This window comes from Homo sapiens, chromosome 6 (genome assembly GCF_000001405.40).
Source record: "Homo sapiens chromosome 6, GRCh38.p14 Primary Assembly".
Classification (NCBI taxonomy): Eukaryota; Metazoa; Chordata; class Mammalia; order Primates; family Hominidae; genus Homo; species Homo sapiens.
This window is the reverse complement of record NC_000006.12, coordinates 39,638,623-39,659,057: the sequence shown is the minus strand read 5'-3', so window position 1 is coordinate 39,659,057 and position 20,435 is coordinate 39,638,623. Positions and strand designations below refer to the sequence as shown.

General features: G+C 37.2%; 1 protein-coding gene across 9 annotated transcripts in view; it reads left to right on the top strand.

Annotated features, from left to right (window-relative positions):
- Positions 1-20,435, top strand: part of KIF6 (kinesin family member 6) — a 395,419-nt gene that overhangs the window by 66,351 nt on the left and 308,633 nt on the right. For all 9 annotated transcript variants that reach the window (XR_001743238.2, NM_001289020.3, NM_145027.6 and 6 more), the window contains exon 4: positions 19,301-19,448. Coding sequence is in view for 8 of the 9 variants with exons in the window: in NM_001289020.3 (NP_001275949.1) it covers positions 19,301-19,448 (148 nt within the window). In the remaining variant the exon portion in view is untranslated. The remainder of the gene's footprint in view (positions 1-19,300; positions 19,449-20,435) is intronic.

The following is a 20,435-nucleotide window of genomic DNA, read 5'->3' as shown; positions in this document are numbered from 1 at the left end:
TTAATACTAGAATGAGTTATTAGGAGCAATTGTGGATTCTCTTGGCAGGCTGTAAATATAGTTCAATTTCTCCTCTGTCCAGGATAGTTTGGGTGGGCCTACCTGAAAGCAGAAGGACAACCCAGACTGGTCCTTCTAGCCCAAAGTTTGTGTGATTCTTTATAACTCAAAAGAAAGCCCCAGTACTTAAGTGATTTAGTAGGTCTTTTTTGTGCATTCAAGTAGGAGCCACACACCATGTTGGCTAACTGCCCCCTGTGTGAAGACCTTCATTATTGAGTTGTGTTTTCATTGACTCTAAACTTTTCCCCCTGGGTGGAAATATATGTGCTTGGCCTCAGCTCACAGGGAAATTATTTAATGTATGACTCTGAACTTAACATGTTAAGTAGTGGTAGAACAAAGTAAGCTTTTTTTCTTATATGTGAGGCAAATTATGCTCCTCACAAGAGGTGAGTTCTTATTTCCAAGCTGACAGAATTCCTTCAAAAATTTATATATAATGAGAATCTGGAGGGAAAATAAAATAATAAATAGAATTGGAAACATGTTGTAAGAGTATTAGGTATAATTTTTTTGGTCTTTTAACCATTATAGAATTTTCAAGATACTTTAAAAATCTCGTACTTCCTTTATTTTGGAAATAGGTGCTTTCTATACTTTTGTTTTTATTTTCCGAACTAAAAGTGTCCGAAAATGCATAGCAATTTTTAATGCAGTGTGAATAACTTTAAACCACCTGAATATTTAATGAAATAGGCTCAGTTCCAACTCTCCTTCTGTCTCCATTATGTATATAGAAAACAGATTATATTAGTGTATAGTTCTTTTAAAATAAAGGTAGATATTCTAAGCAAGATGAGAATTTGGACTGTGTATATATGAGTATGCCAGCTCAATGCTTAACCTTTTTGTGTCTAAACTTAACACATAATGCATACATAAAATGGGTAAGTTACAGTTATTATGAGAGCCATAACTTCTCAGTTTCCTGTATGTTTAAATTTGAAACTTTAATGTTGTACTAATGGAATTTTGTGTGTTTTATGTATATGCACAAGTCTGCTAGACAGATGCTAAAAATGCCAAAATGGAACCAGTCAGAATCTAAGAATGTTCTGTAAAAGTGATTGTAGGGTTTAGGCATCTTGTTGAGATCACTTTTGGGGTTTGACAAAGGTGGTATAGCTGAGTGGTCTTCAATATGAAAGAATGTTCATATCTGCCAAGGAGAATCCTTAAGTCTTATGTGAGTGCAGGCTATCTTAACATTGCAGACTACTAAATACCTATGTGCACAGTAAATATTTGCATATTCGATCACTTATTTCCACCAAATTCCTTTAGTATTTTGGAAATGAAAATAAAAATTATATCAACTGCAAGGCAAAATAACTTTAAAAACCTTACTTTTAAATTTAGAGAGAGATAATTTGTCTGTGATATTTACTTTACTTGCACAACTTTTATGTTTGTCAGAGAAACAATTATGTAATTGTGTTGACACTGCTTGTTAAAATGTGGGAGAAAGTTAAGTCCATTCTCTCTTTGGAGATTTAGTTGTTTGGTCACGCTGGCTATACTATTATTTTAAATAATGAGCAGAACTCTATATGACTCTAAGCTCCCCAAGAGTGCAGGCAATGACTGATTTATTAAGCTCTCCCTCCCTTCATTCATCTCTCTACACTTCTCTTCCTTCATTCCACAGATTTTTTCAATCCCTACAAAATTCTAGTTACCCTGACCTAGGCTTAAGAGAAATAAAGAATTTCTCTGCAAGAAGAATAAAACCTTTTTTTTTTTCTTTTTTCTTTTTTTTTTGAGATGGAGTTTCGCTCTTGTTGCCCAGGCTGGAGTGCACTGGTGCTATCTCTGCTCACTGCAACCTCCGCCTCCAGGGTTCAAGCGATTCTCCTACCTCAGCCTCCCGAGTAGCTGGGATTACAGGCACGCACCACCAGGCCTGGCAAATTTTTTTGTATTTTTAGTAGAGACGGGGTTTCTCCATGTTGGTCAGGCTGGTCTCAAACTCCTGACCTCAGGTGATCCACCCACCTCAGCCTCCCAAAGTGTTGGGATTATAGGCGTGAGCCACCATGCCCGGCCAAAGAACACAATCTTATGAGTCAAATAGACAAGAAAATTAGTGAAAGGTATGATGAGTGGAAGAGGGACATAGAAGAAGAGCCTCCATTCTCTCTTAGGAAGGTGAGAGTTATGGGGCAAGTGGTCAGAAAGAGCTTTAAAAAGCAGGTAGCAATGGAATTGAGTCTGAAATGTGGAAATATAGGAGTTCTCCATGCAAATGAATGTGAGGACAAAAGAAATTTGGTTGGGGCAGAAGAATGGAGGCTGAGGTTTGTGATGTAGATGACTTGGCCTTCTACACAGGAAGAACAACTTAAATTGAAATATGAATGAATGTGTGGGAAATCTTTTGGGTACTGTAGACAGGTTAAACAGCTAGAGAAAGGATAATGTGGAAATCATGGGAAATGACATGTGAGAAATATTCCAGGTTATGGAAAGCCTCATGTGGCATACAGAAAAAATTGGATCTTATCCTAAAAGGAATTGGAAGTTGCCAAATAATTTAAATCATAGTGGAGGCCCAGTTATATGTGTATAGAAAAGTCATTCTGGTGGCAGTGTAGACAGAGGATGAATTTGAGGGACATGAAACTATTTAGAATGGTATTACAATAATGCAGTGTTCTCAGAGGCAAAGGCAGTCTAGAGTATAGGTAGGTAGCACACATAATCGAAATGGGCCCATTTCAGAAACTGGAGAACTTGGACTTAGAGCCCATGTAAATGAAGGGAGTAGTCACCACTTGGCCTCAGCCAGTTGTTGCCATTTGGGAAGACAGAGACACCCTATCACACACATACACACACCCTGTTGCACATTTATTCTTTACTTTTGGCTTTCAGATGAGTGTCAAACATTTTAAAAAACATGAATGGGTCAACACTATATTGATCAAACAAAGTAAATCCTTGGGCCAGATACAGCCTAAGTCAGTGTATCACTGAAGTGTGTTCTTTTGAACATTGATCTTTGAAAAATGTCTTCTGTGGTCAAATAAATTAGGAGCAACTGAGACTTGACAAAACTGATTTTAAAATTCACAAGGAAAGGAACATGTACAAGAATAGTCAAGATAATTTTGGAAAAGAACAAAGATGGTAGACTTGCTTGGCAGATATCAGACTGTATTATAAATCTATGATAAGTAAAATAGTGTTGTATTGTCAGTTTGTTTATTGACAATAAACAAATAAATTGTTGAGATAAAATGGTTAGCTCAGAAATAGACCCATGTATATATGAGAACTTAGTTAATGATATAAGTGGCATTTAAAATGTATCAGGGAATAATGGATCATTTAATAAATGGTACTGGAGAAATTAGTTATTAACTGAGCAAAAACAAAGTTAGATTCTAACTCATGTTACTAAAAAATGTAAGTTAAATAATTAAGAAAACAATAAATAGAGGGAAATGCAGAAAACACATTTATCATGTTGGAGAACTGAAGGCCCTGTGAAGACATGAAATGCAAAAAAAATGAAGAAAAAAATTTGACTTAATTAAAATAAAATTTTTGGACAACAAAGGCCACTATAAGCAGTATTAAAAGGTAAGCTACTATCTGGGAGAAAATATGCAACATAAGCAGAGGATTAATATGATTAAATGGAAATAACTCCTCCCAAAGAATAAGAAAGAGACTCAAAATCTACTACAAAAGTAGTCAAAGGACATTAACAGGCAGTTCCCTAAAGAGGAAATATAATTGGTCAAAAAACGTATAAAAGTATGCTTAACGTGAATATAAAATATGAATATGAAAATGTTTGATCACATTACAATCAGATAAAAGAAAATTTAAAATAAGAAATATCTCTTTCATCAAATTGGCAAAATAAAAATTTGATAATATCAAAAGCAAGTGAGGAAATAGGAACTCTTCTGTTACAGGTCTGAATATACATTGGCAAGGCCACTTTAGAGGACATCATTGTCAGTATCTATCAAAACTGAATGTATACCTACTATAGAGAAATGGTAAAGACTGTTGTTCCTTCCAGCACTGTTTGTAATGGCAAGTAATTGGAAAGGATCCAGTTGTTCATCAGCAGAGAATTGGTTAAATAAACGATACATTTATACTGTGAAATACTATACAGACTTAGAGTATAAAAAATTAGGTGGATCTACTGATGTGAGAGACATTGTTGAGTGAACAAATTGCGCAGGAATACGTAGAATATTAAGCCAATTATTTAAAAAGGTAAAAAGACATGAAGCTGTGCTATATGTAAAATGTCTGGAAGTATGCATACAAAAGGGATAACTAACAGCGATAACTATGGTGAAAGTTGGAGGATGAGGAGGAGAATTATATTCAAAGGAGACTTTAAATGTAAATATTTTTAACAAGCATTTGTTAATTCATGCATTTATGAATTACTTGTATAATCAAAAATAAGTAAAGGTATTTTCAGTAATGGGAGAAACTTGAGCCTGTTTATTTTCTAAGGAGGAGCAATTAATATGAAGGGAGAAGTAGAAAATACAGGAGAGGAGTTAATTGATGGAGAAAGGTCCCTGACAGACAGGAAAGAATGGGTACAATCTAGAATTCAGCTGGAAGAGTTTAGCTTTAGATAGGAGGACGGCCAATCTCTATGACCAGAGAGGAGGAGGAATAGATGAGACTAAGAGAGATAAACTTCTGTTTGTGGGGGTGGAGGCTGAGAGTGGAGAGAGGAGCTGGGGAATTTGCTTTATGATGACCTCCATTTTATCTTCAAAGAAACAGTTTGTCCCCCACCACCCTGGTGTCTTGTCCTCCTTGCTGTAGATACCAGTAAATATGACTGACTGTCTTCCCCACCTGTTCATCTCAATCACATTAAATGTTATTAGCCTCTCGTTACTATCGGACTCTTTCCTCTTGTCATCTTTGTAAAGAGTAGCTTGTTAATGCCATTACATAGGCCCCCACGTCCTATAGTGCTGTGGTGAAAACAACAAGGTCCTAATAATGGGCCATACCAATGAACTAATTTCTACTATTTAAAAGGACACGGGAAACTGCTTTCAGTGGCCTGCCTTCTTAGTTCTGGTATATTCTGCTCTATACTCAAGAGTTATTCTGTTTCCTGTGCCTTCAGAGGACCACATTCCCAGCTTTATGCCCAGAGAAGTCTATGAAACTACCCCCCACCGGCATCCTACAGAGTTGGGATTTTTTTCAGCCTCACAAAGCCCTCTGTTGTTCCTCTTTAACAGTCAGCTAACTGAAGTTAGGGAGAAGTGGTGGGGAGCACTTCTGCCCTCTCCCTCTCCTTTAGATTTTAAGAGGCTTCCAGCAGCTTGACCTTACCTTTTGTGTAAAATATATTTAGTCACTCATTACAAGTTGCAATCCCTTTTTGGTCCTTGGGTTCCAGATGGGGAATTGAAAAGAGTTTTTAGATGTCAGGCATCAAAGGAAATTGAGGAAAGTATCTGCATTATTCTTTCCTCTCCTCTGAATCTTCTGACTTTCCTAGAGGCTGTGCCCCAAGTCTCTGGTACTTTCTCCTTTCATATCTGCCTTTAGGAGGAAAACCTTAAAAAGATTAGTAATTCTTTTCTGTTTTCTATTCTTTTAATCCTATTGTAAACATGTTGATGATAAAGTCACATCCTTTGCTTCTCTCTGAATGGTGATACAGATTTTTTGTTGTAGTTAATTTTCTTTCCTGTTTTTACCCATCCTAGATAGTGGTGTTATAAAACAGTACTTTGCAAGATTGTGCTATGTAATTAATGAAAATCAAGGTACTCCAGAGGAAAGTATTGCAAATCTGCACTGCATTCCTACCTGTAAGATGCTTGCTACAGGCTGTGTCAGCAACAAAGGTGTGGTTTTAAGATGAGAACAAATGAAAAGTAGTGGAATATGTAATTTAATTGTAGATAACTTAAACCGTTATATTGATCTTAATCTGTTTATTCTGATTAGCCCTCGCATTTTAAAAACATGAAGCCAGTATACTTAATCTCTAAGACTTTTAAGTTATTTTTTCCTACTAACTTCTGTGGAGAGCAACTTTGAGACAACTGTTTAACTGGATATTATTCTACCAAACATATCTGATTATTATTAGCTTTATAAAAAGATGGTAGGTTTGTTTTATAACTTAGGTAGTAGAAAGAATATTATATTTAGAATCAAATAGACTTTGGTATTACTCTTATCACTTACTAAGTGTGACCTTGATATAGTTAACTTCTCTAAGGCTAAATTTTCTCATCTCTAAAATGGGAGATAATAGAAGTCTCAGAATAGATTGCCTAGAGAATGAAAGAGGAAGAATATGTCTAAAAGAAAAAAAACATAAGTTCAGTTTTGATCAGACTGAGTTTGAAGTGCTACAGAAAAATTTGAATATATAAATGGTGATTGCTTTAAGACTAAAGTTTTTTTGTTTGTTTTTCTTTGTTTGTTTTGTTTTGTTTTTTTTTTTTGAGATGGAGTTTCACTCCTGTTGCCCAGGCTGGAGTACAATGGTGCGATCTCAGCTCACTGCAACCTCCACCTCCCAGGTTCAAGCGATTTTCCTGCCTCAGCCTCCTGAGTAGCTGGGATTACAGGCATACGCCACCACGCCCGGCTAATTTGTATTTTTAGTAGAGACGGGGTTTCACCGTGTTGGTCAGGCTGGTCTTGAACTCCCGACCTTAGGTAATCCACCTGCTTGGCCTCCCAAAGTGCTGGGATTACAGGCATGAGCCACTGTACCTGGCAAGACTAAAGATTTTTTAGTTTATTGAGACTGTATTGTTCATTGCAGTTAGTAAGATGATGCTGTATCTCTACTATCCATAAGCTAATAGTAGGATATGTGTCTCACGGAATTTTGTGAACACTATTCCCTTCTATTTTCCCTATATCTCTTCTCATAGTGTGCCCCTAGAAGACTCCTCGTGTGATTTTTGCCCAGCCAAGACTGATTTCATCATCTCTGCTGCCATGCCCCTCTAGTTCACAGGCCATACATAGTTCCATAGGCCATAATTGTCTATGGCCTGCAGGGTAGTTTGACATTACTTAGCTGAACAGTCTTTTCTGTTCCTTTTTCCTGATCCCTTTATGAGTGATCTCAATCAAGCCACACCTTTCTGCTTCAAACTCTGGCTCCTAAATCTCATTAGATCGTTGTGTATCCATGATGCAAATAAAGCCATGATGATTATTAGCAGCTTCATGAGATGTATTTTTATTTACCTTTCTATGCCAAAGGGCAATTTTCCTCCTTGATTATTATCCATTGAAATCAAAGTGTGTTTGAATTTTCCCAAAAATGTGCAAAATGTCTTCCATTTTACACAAAATTGAAGTCAAATAAGGTCTTATTTGGCAAGTAATCTTGAGACTAGAAGTATGGAGAAAAAGGCTCATAACTTAAATCTAAACTAGAGCTCCATGTGGTCCAGTCAGTGTACAGTGTCACTTTTGGAAGTACTCAAAGGTCAGATTGTATGTGGGCTCTCAGGAATTATAGGAGTTAGGGAAACGCATTTTCCTCCACTGCTGCTTCTCTCAGCACCCACCACACTGACGGCAGCCACCTGCTACCCTCCCCCGCCATCCTGCAGTGCTCAACTTTCCGCTTTCCAGTCTCTCTCCAAACTTCTCAGACAGATCCTCCCCTGAAGATAGGCCCTTTGTCTTTTCATTTCTATGCCTGTCTCCCCTACTTCTTCACCTAGATTCTCGGATCTCTGTTTCCACCTATTCAGATGGCTGGAGGACCCAGAAGCTCGATTTACTTTACACTTGGCAAGGAAAAGGATGGAGTCTCTAGGAAAACACAGTTTTCTCACTTGGCCTCTCTAATTATAAATTTTTGTAGAAGACTTTCTTTAAATGCTTTCTATCTCTCCAAACACATTTATAAATTAGCCCTTTGGGTTTTTAAAAATTATAGATTGATGTGTAAATTAGAAGGTTATACAGGTGAATATGTGCACATGCTCAGATATTTAAAGATGCTTATCTTGGTGGTTATCTTGCTTTACCTTGCACTGCAAATTTCTTGAGAAGAATTTTTTTTTTCCTGTAAATTCACAAAGCACACAGTACCAGGCTTCTCATATAATATCATGAATGCTTAAGAAATGTGATTGATCAATTTACTGACAGAGAACTCAGGATTTTAGGAAAAAGTATTTTCTATTTTCTTTTGTATCCCTATAAAAGAAACCCAAAGTAACCAGTTCAGATTTTATGCACGATTCTGTCCTAATAAATTTCTATAGACAATGAATTTCTCCCACATTGTTGTATAAAATTTTGTGGTTTCATTTTAGTTGCCTCCTTAGATGGTTATCTGAAAATGATTATATATTTAATTAATCTAAGTGTTTATTCTGAAGGATCATAGGAAAAATATTGGTCAGAAATGCTACAGTAAATGCATTTTTTATAATGTAATTATAAATTATGTAAATAAGATAATGTAAATAAGATAAAATAATGTATAATATAATGTAAATATATACTTTTTATAATGTAAATAAGATAAAAATGCAGCCCTCACTTTTCAATACTGTATGCTGGACTTCAAACTGAAACATTTAGAACTGGATTATGTTCAGAAGGGGTCATTTTCTTCATTAAAGTTTCATGCATTTCTGTTCTTTTACCAGACTTAAGCTGCTTATTATTAATACTAACACAAAACGGTTTCTTCAGAAACTTGGGAAATAATAAACAGCCTCATTTAGAGAGCACTCTGGCCTGGATTTGGTCCATGAACTTATGGATGTGAAGCTGTTTAGTGTGCTTAAGACCTCGAAGATCCTTTAAGAGGGGCTGTTTGGATTAGGTGCCCCATGATGTGTTTGCTTCTTGCAAAGTTTGGTTTGAAGTAGTTGGGACAAGACTGTGAACAAAGCCCTGAGAATCATAGAACTGGGAAGGATCTCAAGAGATCCCCTTACTTAGCCCCTGTATCCAAGGAGGAGAATTTGCAAATCATTCAAGACAGGCAGCTGCTGATCCTGTTTTGTGAGATATCCAAGAGTGGGAGTCCTGATTGTGCCAAAGTGACTGTTTTAGAAGAAAGCACCCAACATTCTTGTTTTCCTATCACACACGAAATGTGAACAATGATGGGTGGGATAGCCATTTGGTTTCTTGGGTGGTTAATGGTGTGAGAGGATTGCTTACGACATTTCAAAACCTGGAAGATGCTGATATTTAGTTTAGTTTCTTTTCTTTCTTTCTTTCTTTCTTTCTTTCTTTCTTTCTTTCTTTCTTTCTTTCTTTAATCAGAGTGTTACTCTTACCATTTATCTGAGTCACTTTATAGCAGTTGCAAAACTCAACATTCCATGGAAGGCAAACAATTAATCTGAAGTAAACTAGTGAGGGCCAGATGGAGTGGTGGTATCTGTGCTTAAATTGGGGACTAAGACCACTCAGACTGAATTTTTTAAAAAAGACAGTGTTGACCAAACAAATGCTCTGCTAGCTATATTTTGCCTGTGGGTCTCTTTCTTTGTGACTCTAGTTTAATAACCAGTATGCCCGCAGATGTATAAATTACCAGTTAATCCATGTTTGCAGTTTCATTTTTCTCACACAAAACAATTTTGGTTGTGTGGGGTAACTATTTCTAATCTAGATATTCTTGGCCTTGGATATTCCTTTCCAAAATGATTGATGATTTGGTTTAGGTTGACGAAGGCTAGCCATGTAACCTACTTTATTTCTCTATCAGGATTTATAACCAGATCAATATATCATAGAACTGAAGCTGTAAGAGATCTTAGAATGATGTTGCCAGAACATGCTTTTATTTTATTTTTACTTTTATGACTTATTTTATTTATTTACTTATTTATTTAGAGACAGGGTCTTCTTGTCACCCAATCATAGCTCACAGTAACCTTGAAGTCCTGGGATCAAGTGATCCTCCCACCTTAGCCTCTCGAGTAGCTAGGACTCCAGGAGCACACCACACACCCAACTAATTTTTTTTTTTTTTTTTGGCAGAGACAGGGTCTTGCTATGTTGACCAGGCTGGTCTCAAACTCCTGGGCTGAAGCAATCCATCTGCCTCCTGTGCTAGGATTACAGGCATAAGCCACTGCCCTGGGCCAAAACATGCTTTTAGAAAGGACAGTATCTAAACTAGGGGAACTAAACTCACATGCCTTTACGCAGGACTTCTATATTGTACACCTCCAGGGGACATGCTTCACAGTGGCCTACACAAATGGCTAGGCACTGCACAAAGGTGAGGGGGCACCGGCATTCGCATGGACTGCACTGTGATTATGCAGTGATGCAGCCCTGCTTTCAAGTCTAGGCAAGTAACATACCTTTAGGAAGCAGTTGATCCTAAGATGTTAGGGAATGTTGGGGACCACAGCAAACTGAAGAACATGTCTCGCAAAAAGGCATTCAAATTTAGTTAAGTTTAAGCATTCCTGTAGGCAAGTTTTACTGCCAGCTTGAGATCCTTGCTGTAAATCAAGGACTAAGAGGTGTCTTTCAGATCACTCTGGAAACTTTGCAATAATTATGATTCTCTTGGTTGCATGTAACTGAATTCCAACTCAAAGCAGAGAGGATTTCTTGTCTCACATAACTGGTTTAGCTCAAAGAAGAACTGAAGGGAGTGATATAAAAATCAAGGCCCTTGGCTGGACATGGTGGCTCATGCCTATAATCCCAACACTTTGGGAGGCCAAGGTGGGTGGATCACCTGAGGTCAGGAGTTCGAGACCAGCCTGGCCAACATGGTGAGGCACCCCCCCCCGCCCGCCCCCCGTCTCTACTAAAAATACAAAAATTAGCCAGGCATGGTGGCAGTTGCCTGTAGTCCCAGCTACTCGGGAGGCTGAGGCAGGAGAATCGCTTGAACCCGGGAGGCAGAGTTTGCAGTGAGCCAAGATCATGCCACTGCACTCCAGCCTGGTGGACAGAGTAAGACTCTGTCTCAAAAAAAAAAAAAAGAAAGTTAAAAAACATTAGCTGGGCTTGGTGGCTCATGCCTGTAATCCCAGCACTTTGAGAGGTTGAGGTGGGTGGATCACCTGAGTTCAGGAGTTCAAGACCAGCCTGGCCAACATGGTGAAACCCCGTCTCTACAAAAATACCAAAATTAGCTGGGCATAATGGCGGGTGCCTGTAATCCCAGCTACCCAGGGAACTGAGGCAGGAGAATCACTTGAACTGAACCCGGGAGGCGGAGGTTGCAGTGAGCTGAGATCGCACCATTGCACTCCAGCCTGGGTGACAGAGGGAGACTCTGTCTCAAAAAAAAAAAAAAAAAATCAGGGCCTTCACTGTTTGACCTAGGTTCCTGACATAGCCATAATCCTTCACCCATCTGAACTTTACTTGGCCCTGCTTCCTTGTGCTGAAGGGCAGGGGATACGGCCTCTAGTAGGGACCCCAGTAAAAATAAAACTTATTTTCTTCTCAAAATCTATACAGGAGACACAAAGGCACTCTTTTTTGCTCGGCTTGAGTCATGTCACCAGCTTCTTGTAATGATATAATAGCTGTTACAGGTGGGACAGTGGTTGGAGGAACCAAGATGGGATCAAGTGGTATGACTGGCCAGGCCTGAGTCATGGGGTCCATACACCTGCCTGCCCCTCTTGAGCTTGTAGAAGGAGACTGGGAGCCTATTACCATAAGAGGGACTAAGAAAGCTTGCTAGGCAGAAAAACAGACCTCTCAAAGTCTACTATTCTCTTAAATTCCCCAGAAGTGTCGGCCTCCTCACATTTTTTTCTCCCTTCTTTGCAGCACAGGAAATGCCCCGTGATCAAAATCTTGCTGGAAATTTTACAAGTTCCATGTTCATTTGGCTTAACCAATGAGAAGATTATTTTTATATATGGCAAAACTGAATTGTGTTAATTGTGCTAATTATGAATTGCTATTGTTTTTGGTTGAAATCTCTAAAATTTAAGCTACTGAATTTATGCACTGTGAGATATTCTGAAAGTGAAACAGTTAGGAGTCATTTACCGTATTTCTCTATAAAAGATCCAGTTGCCCCTTGGGACTGCTTATGAGGGATTGAGAGACTTTATTCTAGAAAGAGGGTTACAGTAGACAGAAGTTAACTGCTCTGGGGATTTCAAAATAACTGAGTTTCACTTACTCGGGATCTCAGAACTGTGTGAAAGGCAAGTATGGATAAGGCGGAACTGTGTATTTAAAATAGGGGAGCTTAATTTTCATTTGTTCCAAATTAGTTGTGTTGATTTATGCAAAGATGTTTTGTCAGATTAAACATGTATATAGCGTATTTCTATTAGCTTAAAAAATTTGTCCTTAGTACCAATTGTTTGGTTTGTGTTTTCTGAGTGAACTAGTACGTTTTGCTTCTAGCAACTGTTTTTAAATACATATAAAATGTATTTGCCTTTGATTTTTAATTTTTCTAAAGCTAAACTGTTAAACTTAACTATTAAACTAAGACTAAACTTTTAAGGTGCTGCTTCACCTGCCCCTCCCCTCTCAAAAATGAAATCAGCCCTGCCCAGTTCTCTAAGTCCAACCTGGTCCTGTCTAAGCATACTTTGTGTAACTGTTTTTCAGAAATACCTTGGAGGGAATTCTTTGGGTGGACAAAATGTAGTTAGAAGACCTCTGCTGACATCAATTATAAAATCCATGATCCTATTACTATATTTTGTTTCTTTTTTTTTCAACTATGCTGTCTCTTTGAGGGACTATAATTCATGTCTTGTTTTTTGGTTTAGTGAACTAAATTATTACTACAATAATGATTTGTTGTTGATTACTTTCATTTAGACATTGTATCTTGAGATTCTTTTTTTTTACCTCTCTGAGGCTCCATTTTCTCATCTTTATTTATTTATTTTATATATATATATATTTTTCTTATACGTTAAGTTCTAGGGTACATGTGCACAACATGCAGGTTTGTTACATATGTATACATGTGCCATGTTGGTGTGCTGCACCCATTAACTCATCATTTACATTAGGTATATCTCCTAATGCTATCCCTCCCCCCTGCCCCCACCCAACAACAGGCCCCGGTGTGTGATGTTCCCCACCCTGTGTCCAAGTGTTCTCATTGTTCAATTCCCACCTATGAGTGAGGACATGTGGTGTTTGGTTTTTTGTCCTTGCGATAGTTTGCTGAGAATGATGGTTTCCAGCTTCATCCGTGTCCCTACAAAGGACATGAACTCATCATTTTTTATGGCCGCATAGTATTCCATGGTATATATGTGCCACATTTTCTTAATCCAGGAGCTGGTACCATTCCTTCTGAAACTATTCCAATCAATAGAAAAAGAGGGAATCCTCCCTAACTCATTTTATGAGGCCAGCATCATCCTGATACCAAAGCCTGGCAGAGACACAACAAAAAAAGAGAATTTTAGACCAATATCCCTGATGAACATCGATGCAAAAATCCTCAATAAAATACTGGCAAACCGAATCCAGCAGCACATCAAAAAGCTTATCCACCATGATCAAGTTGGCTTCATCCCTGGAATGCAAGGCTGTATCTTGAGGTTCTTAAAGCCTTTGCATCCGGAGGTAAACAAAATGAAGTCTCACTTTGTGCAGATCCTCCAGACAATCTTCTACTTGGAGCCTAGTTAAACAAAGAGTAATACAAATGGAAAAACTAAACTTTAAAATGACTTGTATTTTTTTCTAGCATGTAAATGTGTTGTGTCTGGAGTGACACTTCAGTTTATAATCTCCAAAAGGGTTGAGGCTTTATTTTTGTTTAATTCATGCAAATATTAAAAGATAAGAAATGACAAACTACCTTAGCTTCCTAATTTAAACTTCTAGGAAAAGTGCATTTTGCAAAAGGAAGGAGAGAATTTCTACAATGGAAATTTCCTCTGATCATCAAACTCTGGGTTTATAAAGGGTTGATTTATTTACATATTAGGACTGTCTCTAGCTGAGATGAATTAAGCAGCAGCCTGCATTGTTGATTTTAGGAAGTTCAGAAATACTTCTGAACAAAAATGTTTATCTCACTCTTCATTGCTGAAATGTATCATTAGCTTTTCATTCCTTTTATTAATTACCCTTCTCTCTGTCTTTAAAAAATACTACTGAAAAGATAGTATACACATCTGGTTATTAGCAAGTGAGTATAGACTCTTCTTTACTATTTTATTGTTACAACAGCTTTGTTGAGATGTAATTCAAATACTAAAACATTTACTCTTTAAAGCATGCAATTTAGTTGTTTTTAGTACAAATGTGCCACCATCAATCACCATTATTTAATTTTGAAACCTTTTCATTACCGCCAAAAAGAAGCTCTGTACCATAGCCATTAGCAGTCACTCTCCATTTTCCCTTCCTTCTAGCCCCTGTCTAACACTAACCTACTTTCTATCTCTATGGAATTTTCTTATCCTGAACATTTTCTAGAAATAGAATCACAATATATCATCTTTTTTGACTGGCTTTTTAAAATTTAATGTGTTTTCAAGTTTTATCCTTATTGTAGCATGTATCTGTACTGCCTTCTCCTTGCCAAATAATATCCCATGGAATGGATACAGTACATCTTGTTTATCCACTCATCAGCTGACGGTCACTTTGTGTTGTTTCCACTTTTTGGCTAAATAATGAATAATGCTGTTGTGAACATTCACTACAAATTTTTGTGTGGACACATGTTTTTAATACTGCTGTGTATACACCTAGCCGGGTCATATGGCAATACTAGGTTTACATTTTGAGGAACTGTTAAGACCTCAAAATGTACCATTTTACATTTCCAGCAACAATGTATGAAGGTTCCAATTTGTCCACATTGTCACCAGCACTTCTCATTGTCTCTTTTTTTTTTTGTTTTAGCCATACTAGTGGGTGTGAAATTGCATCTTATTGTGATTTTGACTTGCATTTCCCTAATGACCAATTATGTTGAGCATCTTTTTATATGTTATTGGCCATTTGCATTTCTTTTTAGAGAAATGTCTATTCGAATCTGTTGCCCGCTTTTTAATTAGATTGTTTGTCTTCTTATTATTGAGTTGTAAGATTTCTTTGTATGTTATGGATTATGGATATGATGACAAGTCCCTTGCCAGATAGATATGATTTGCATACATTATCTCCATTGTGTTGTCTTTTCACTTACTTGATTGTGTCTTTTGAAACACAAAATTTTTAATTTTGATGAAGTGCAGCTTATTTTTTTCCTTTGGCTCTTTGTGCTTTTGATGTCATATCTAAAAAACATTGCCTAATTTAGCTCATGAAGATTTACTCCTAAGTTTTCTTGCAAGATTTTCTTTTAAGTTTTATCTCTTACATTAGGTCTGTGATTCGTTTTGAGTTAATTTTTGTACATGGCCTGAGGTAGAGGTCCAGCTTTATTCTTTTTCATGTGGATATCCAGTTGTCCAAGGATCATTTGTTAAAAAGACCATTCTTTCCTCCATTGAATAGTGTTGGCACCCTTGTTGAAAATCAACTGATCATAAATATAAGGGTCTATTTCTGGATTCTTAATTTTATTTTATTGATCCATATGTATGGCCTTATGCCAGTATCCCTCTGTCTTAATTATTCTAGCTTTGTAGTAGGTTTTGAAATAGGGATGTGTGAGTCATCTACCTTTGTTCTTTCTTTTCAAGATTGTTTTAGCTATTCTGTGTCCCTTGACTTTCTGTATAAATTTTATAAGAATATTGTCAATTTTTGCAAATAAGCCAGCTTGAATTTTGATAGAAATCGCACAAATGTAGATCAGTTTAGGGAATATTGCCATCTACACAGTGTTAAGACTTGTACCCTACAATCCTGCTGAACTTGTTTCTTACTTCCCATAATTTTATAGTAAATTCCTTAGTATTTTCTATATACAAGATTATGTCATGTGCAAATAGAGACTTCTATGTCTGGCAATATTATTCTCAAAAATGAAGAAGAAATTAAGACATTCCAAGATAAACAAAAACTGAGCAAATTTATCGTCAACAAACTAGCCAGTAAATTTAGGCAAGATAATGAAATAAATTTCCTTAAATTCCTTGAACTCCTCCATCTCCCAGCCTACATACAAGGGTCCCTACATGTTTGTTGGGGCATACCTTCAATGCTGAGGAAGTTTGTAACACTGTCTTTCTTCTCACTTTCTGTTTGTGCAGTCTAAAGGCCAGCCAGAGGTGAGTTATAATGCCCTTCTCAGGTCTTTTCTGGGCATACATATAGTCCTGCACATGTGTGTGGCCTTCCCGATTCCCAGGAATACATTAGAGTTTTTTGAAACCCCTTATACACATTTCTCAGGTTTTTCTAAGTTTTTGGTTACGTTCTTGTTTACTTCACTGGCATTGCAGCTTTGCCAGCTGTGATGTTAAACACTTGCCACTGATTTTTTTTCAACAAACACCCCGAGGACAGGGCTGCTCACACTGAGTGAACTCTGAATCAGGTCTAACAAAGACAAGTACCATGAGTGGAGCTTTTCCAGAGAGCTCCCAGACGAGTCAGAGAGTGGCAGCTCTTTGAGGATGGGGCATTTTGAGGAGCCCCAAATCCATACTGCCCCCTACAGTGGTTGCTAGGCTGCTGGATTTCACAGCTCCAATGTTTCAAGGCTGTTGTTTTTGAAGGCTACCATGGAGCTAGGGAGAGGTGCTGGGAATGTTGAAGTTAAAATACCACAAAGCTCATGGTTCCTACTGAGTTTAGCTGTTTGTCTTACATAAACACTTCTTGGATTGGTGTGAGCCTTTGGATAATTTCCAGAGTTCTGAAAAAGTTGATTTTGACAATTTTTGCCACTGGTATTATTGTTCTTGTGGAGTAATGGATTTTCAAAGTTCATTACACCACTATTTCTCTTTCTTTATTTTTAACTAGTATTTTTCCTTAGGACAGATGAGACCAGAAGCACATGAAAAGGCCTAGTGTCCATTGAAGAGTGGTTACAAGACTGAGTTGGAATGGAGGCTCTACAGAAGGGACTGGAGACAAATTTTGCCTGATTACATTTCCTTATTTAACGTTTAATTGTAGCAACGTAATAAATAAATAGCCATGGGAGTATATATAGGTCAAGCCTTACCCTTTTTATTTTACAGTGTTCTATGAAGCTATGTCATCTGGTTTTCCATCCCACAGTAGATGGGGGTAGGGGGAGCACATATTAAAGACAGACATACTAGGACAACTGGCAGTGAGAAAGAAGATTTTAGCATAAAAAAGTAGACATAACACTTAGCAGATGCCAACGTAGTGTACTACCTACTCACTTTTCGTAGTCTATATCTATATCAAAATGAAAATATTAATTTGTGCTCTGTAGTTTTTTCCTTTTTTTTTTGTTTCCTTGGCAGTGGCTTTTTTTTATATATATTATACTTTAAGTTTTAGGGTACATGTGCACAACGTGCAGGTTAGTTACATTTGTATACATGTGCCATGTTGGTGTGCTGCACCCATTAACTCGTTATTTAACATTAGGTATATCTCCTAATGCTATCCCTCCCCCGTCCCCCCACCTCACAACAGTCCCCGGTGTGTGATGTTCCCCTTCCTGTGTCCATGTGTTCTCATGTTCAATTCCCACCTATGAGTGAGGACATGTGGTGTTTAGTTTTTTGCCCTTGCGATAGTTTGCTGAGAATGATGGTTTCCAGCTTCATCCATGTCCCTACAAAGGACATGAACTCATCAATTTTTATGGCTGCAGAGTATTCCATGGTGTTTTTCAAGACAGATAATGCCTAGAATATTTTACATCTATTCTTTCTATCAAGAATCAATAAAATGTTTAAGATTAGATATTTGAAATTTTAGACTTCATTTACCTACAGCATTTATGGCCAAGAAATATCATATATCCAAATGATATTGCTAATGGGACATCAATGTTTCATTGGTAACAAATTCTGTTGAGGAAAAAGATTCTGTAATTATATATCTAATTTTGTCATAGTTCCAACATCTTAGAAATTGAGAATTTCAACAGTATATTGTCTCCATGTAAAGACACACGAAGAAAAGTGATTACACTCCTCAAAAGTAGAACATTGAATCACACAGTTACAATACTTTCTTGCGCATTCCCTGTACTAAGTCCATTAAATTTGTAAGCACCAACAACACTTTCTACCTACACAGCAACAGATGCATTGACGTGTTGCTGAAGATATTATTGTTAGTTTAATAGTTGCATAAGGTGGTCATAAGTTTAATAGTTGCATAAGGTGGTCATAAGTGACCACTTCAGAATAATCTCCAGTCAAACCTGTGTGTTTTAGGAGACCCTTATAATGACAGATCACTCAACACACAGGCATGAAAGCATATGAAACATAGAACTGTAGATAGGATGTTGACAGAACTAATAGGGAGGAATTCTAATATGAACAGTGAGGGGTGAACTCAGAGGAGCCATCTATCAAAAAATCCACCCACAACATGGGGACCAATAGCTGATGTCATCGTAGCTAGTTTAATGAAAACATCTCAGAGATCAAGGAGCCACTTGTATCAAAAAACGAACATAAAGCTACAAAAGTTTACTGTTCCATGTAGCATAGATTAAAGACACAGTTTTGAAAGTCTACATCATTTCATGCATATTTATAAAAGCTTATATTACAGGTGGTGCTCTTCAAAGGCTGAGAAGATCCAGCCTTTGGGTTCTTAAGACCACCATCAAATCAAGGGCCGCTCTGCAGGGCTGAAGAATATATATGGACTAGCATCTTCTACCAAAAAGTCATTCCAAGAAAAGAGAAGAGGGGAATTCCTAGAGGATTTTCAGTTGGTGCTTAGTATTAAGTAGGGAATTACATTGCAAGGTATATGGTGGCAAGCAGAGTGTGTTCCTCCTGTTCTAGGAAGTAACTACTATTGTGAGTGTTTACACCATGTGAGGTACCAGGTGTCAGGTTGACAGTTTGCCAAATTACAGGTATTGTTTCCCCAGAACTTTTTTTCAATATATTCTTTGATTCAAGTCCAGTGTGTACTAAAAGATGAAGAATATATTTAAGATGACTGAACTCCATTTGTGTTGCACATCCTTTCTTAGAGAACAGGATTGATGTGCTGCTGTTCCTAGATAAAAATGTAAATTCTAGCTAGATATTCACATATATAAATTTTTAATAGATATTTCTATAAAGTTTTTTTAATAGTGTTTAATAAGATTGTTATTAGAATACAAGCCATTTAATTCATATGCAGTTAGCCATGTTGATATTGAAAGTGTGTCATTTCTTTATTGCAGTGTCCTGGCAGGTTACAATGGTACCATCTTTGCATATGGGCAAACAGGCAGCGGGAAGACATTCACTATCACAGGGGGTGCAGAGCGTTACAGTGACAGAGGCATTATCCCAAGGACACTGTCATACATTTTTGAACAGTTACAAAAGGTATGAAACTTTTCGTTCATATCATTTTGTATTTGATATATTCAGCAAAAATATACTGAAAGCAGGAAATTTATTATGACATGTATTTTATTGTGTCTAAATGATAAAGTCTTATTGTGTCATAACTTTGGCCTTTACCTTTAAGGAGAGGTTGGGATTTTGCTGTACAAGTGAAAATTAAGAAGGTACTTCTCATTAAAGGGCTGCTATTTCAGCAAAGGCTCAAGGACATTTCCTTCTGATATACGCACGAAGGTTGAAAGAGCAGACAACACCTTTTACCAACTAATATCTTATATTCCTCAAGAAACTGAGGAATGTCTTCTTATCAAAGCAGATCTTTCTTTTAGCTACTGAAACACTAAACAGGATAGTATAATTGTTACTATTTTACACTTGATAGAAGCCCAGAGGAATTTACCAAAGTACAAATACCGTTGTAATTATTACCATTGTAAAAAAGGGTTATCTATCTAGATTATATGTATCATTTATTGAGTGCCTCAAAATGCCAGTAGCTTTATCAGTTTTACCAGTATTTGATATAACATATAATGCAACTTCCCATTTCACAGTTGGGAATACTGAGCCTCAGGTTAAATATTTTCCTCTGGGCCCACATCCTGTAAGTAGCTGATCTAGAGTTCTATCCCAAGTCCACCTGATGTCTAACTCTGTGCTTTGTGCCATTATGTATATTGCTTCTATACCTCGGACTGGCTTTATTTTGTTGGTTATGTTCAAACAAATTCCCCGTAATGAGTCACATACCTTCTCTGAGTTTCGGTTTTCCCTTCTGTGAAAGCAGAGATTGAATTGTATTAGAGAATCTCCAGTGTCCCTACTAGTTCCAGCAATTCCTTGGTTGTATTACTTCTGTATAATACATGTCTTAACTAGGTCAATATAACAGTCACTCCAAAATTTCTTGACTGTATATTGTTTGCATTTTGAGTTGCAAAGATGAGAAGAAATTGCTGAGATCTG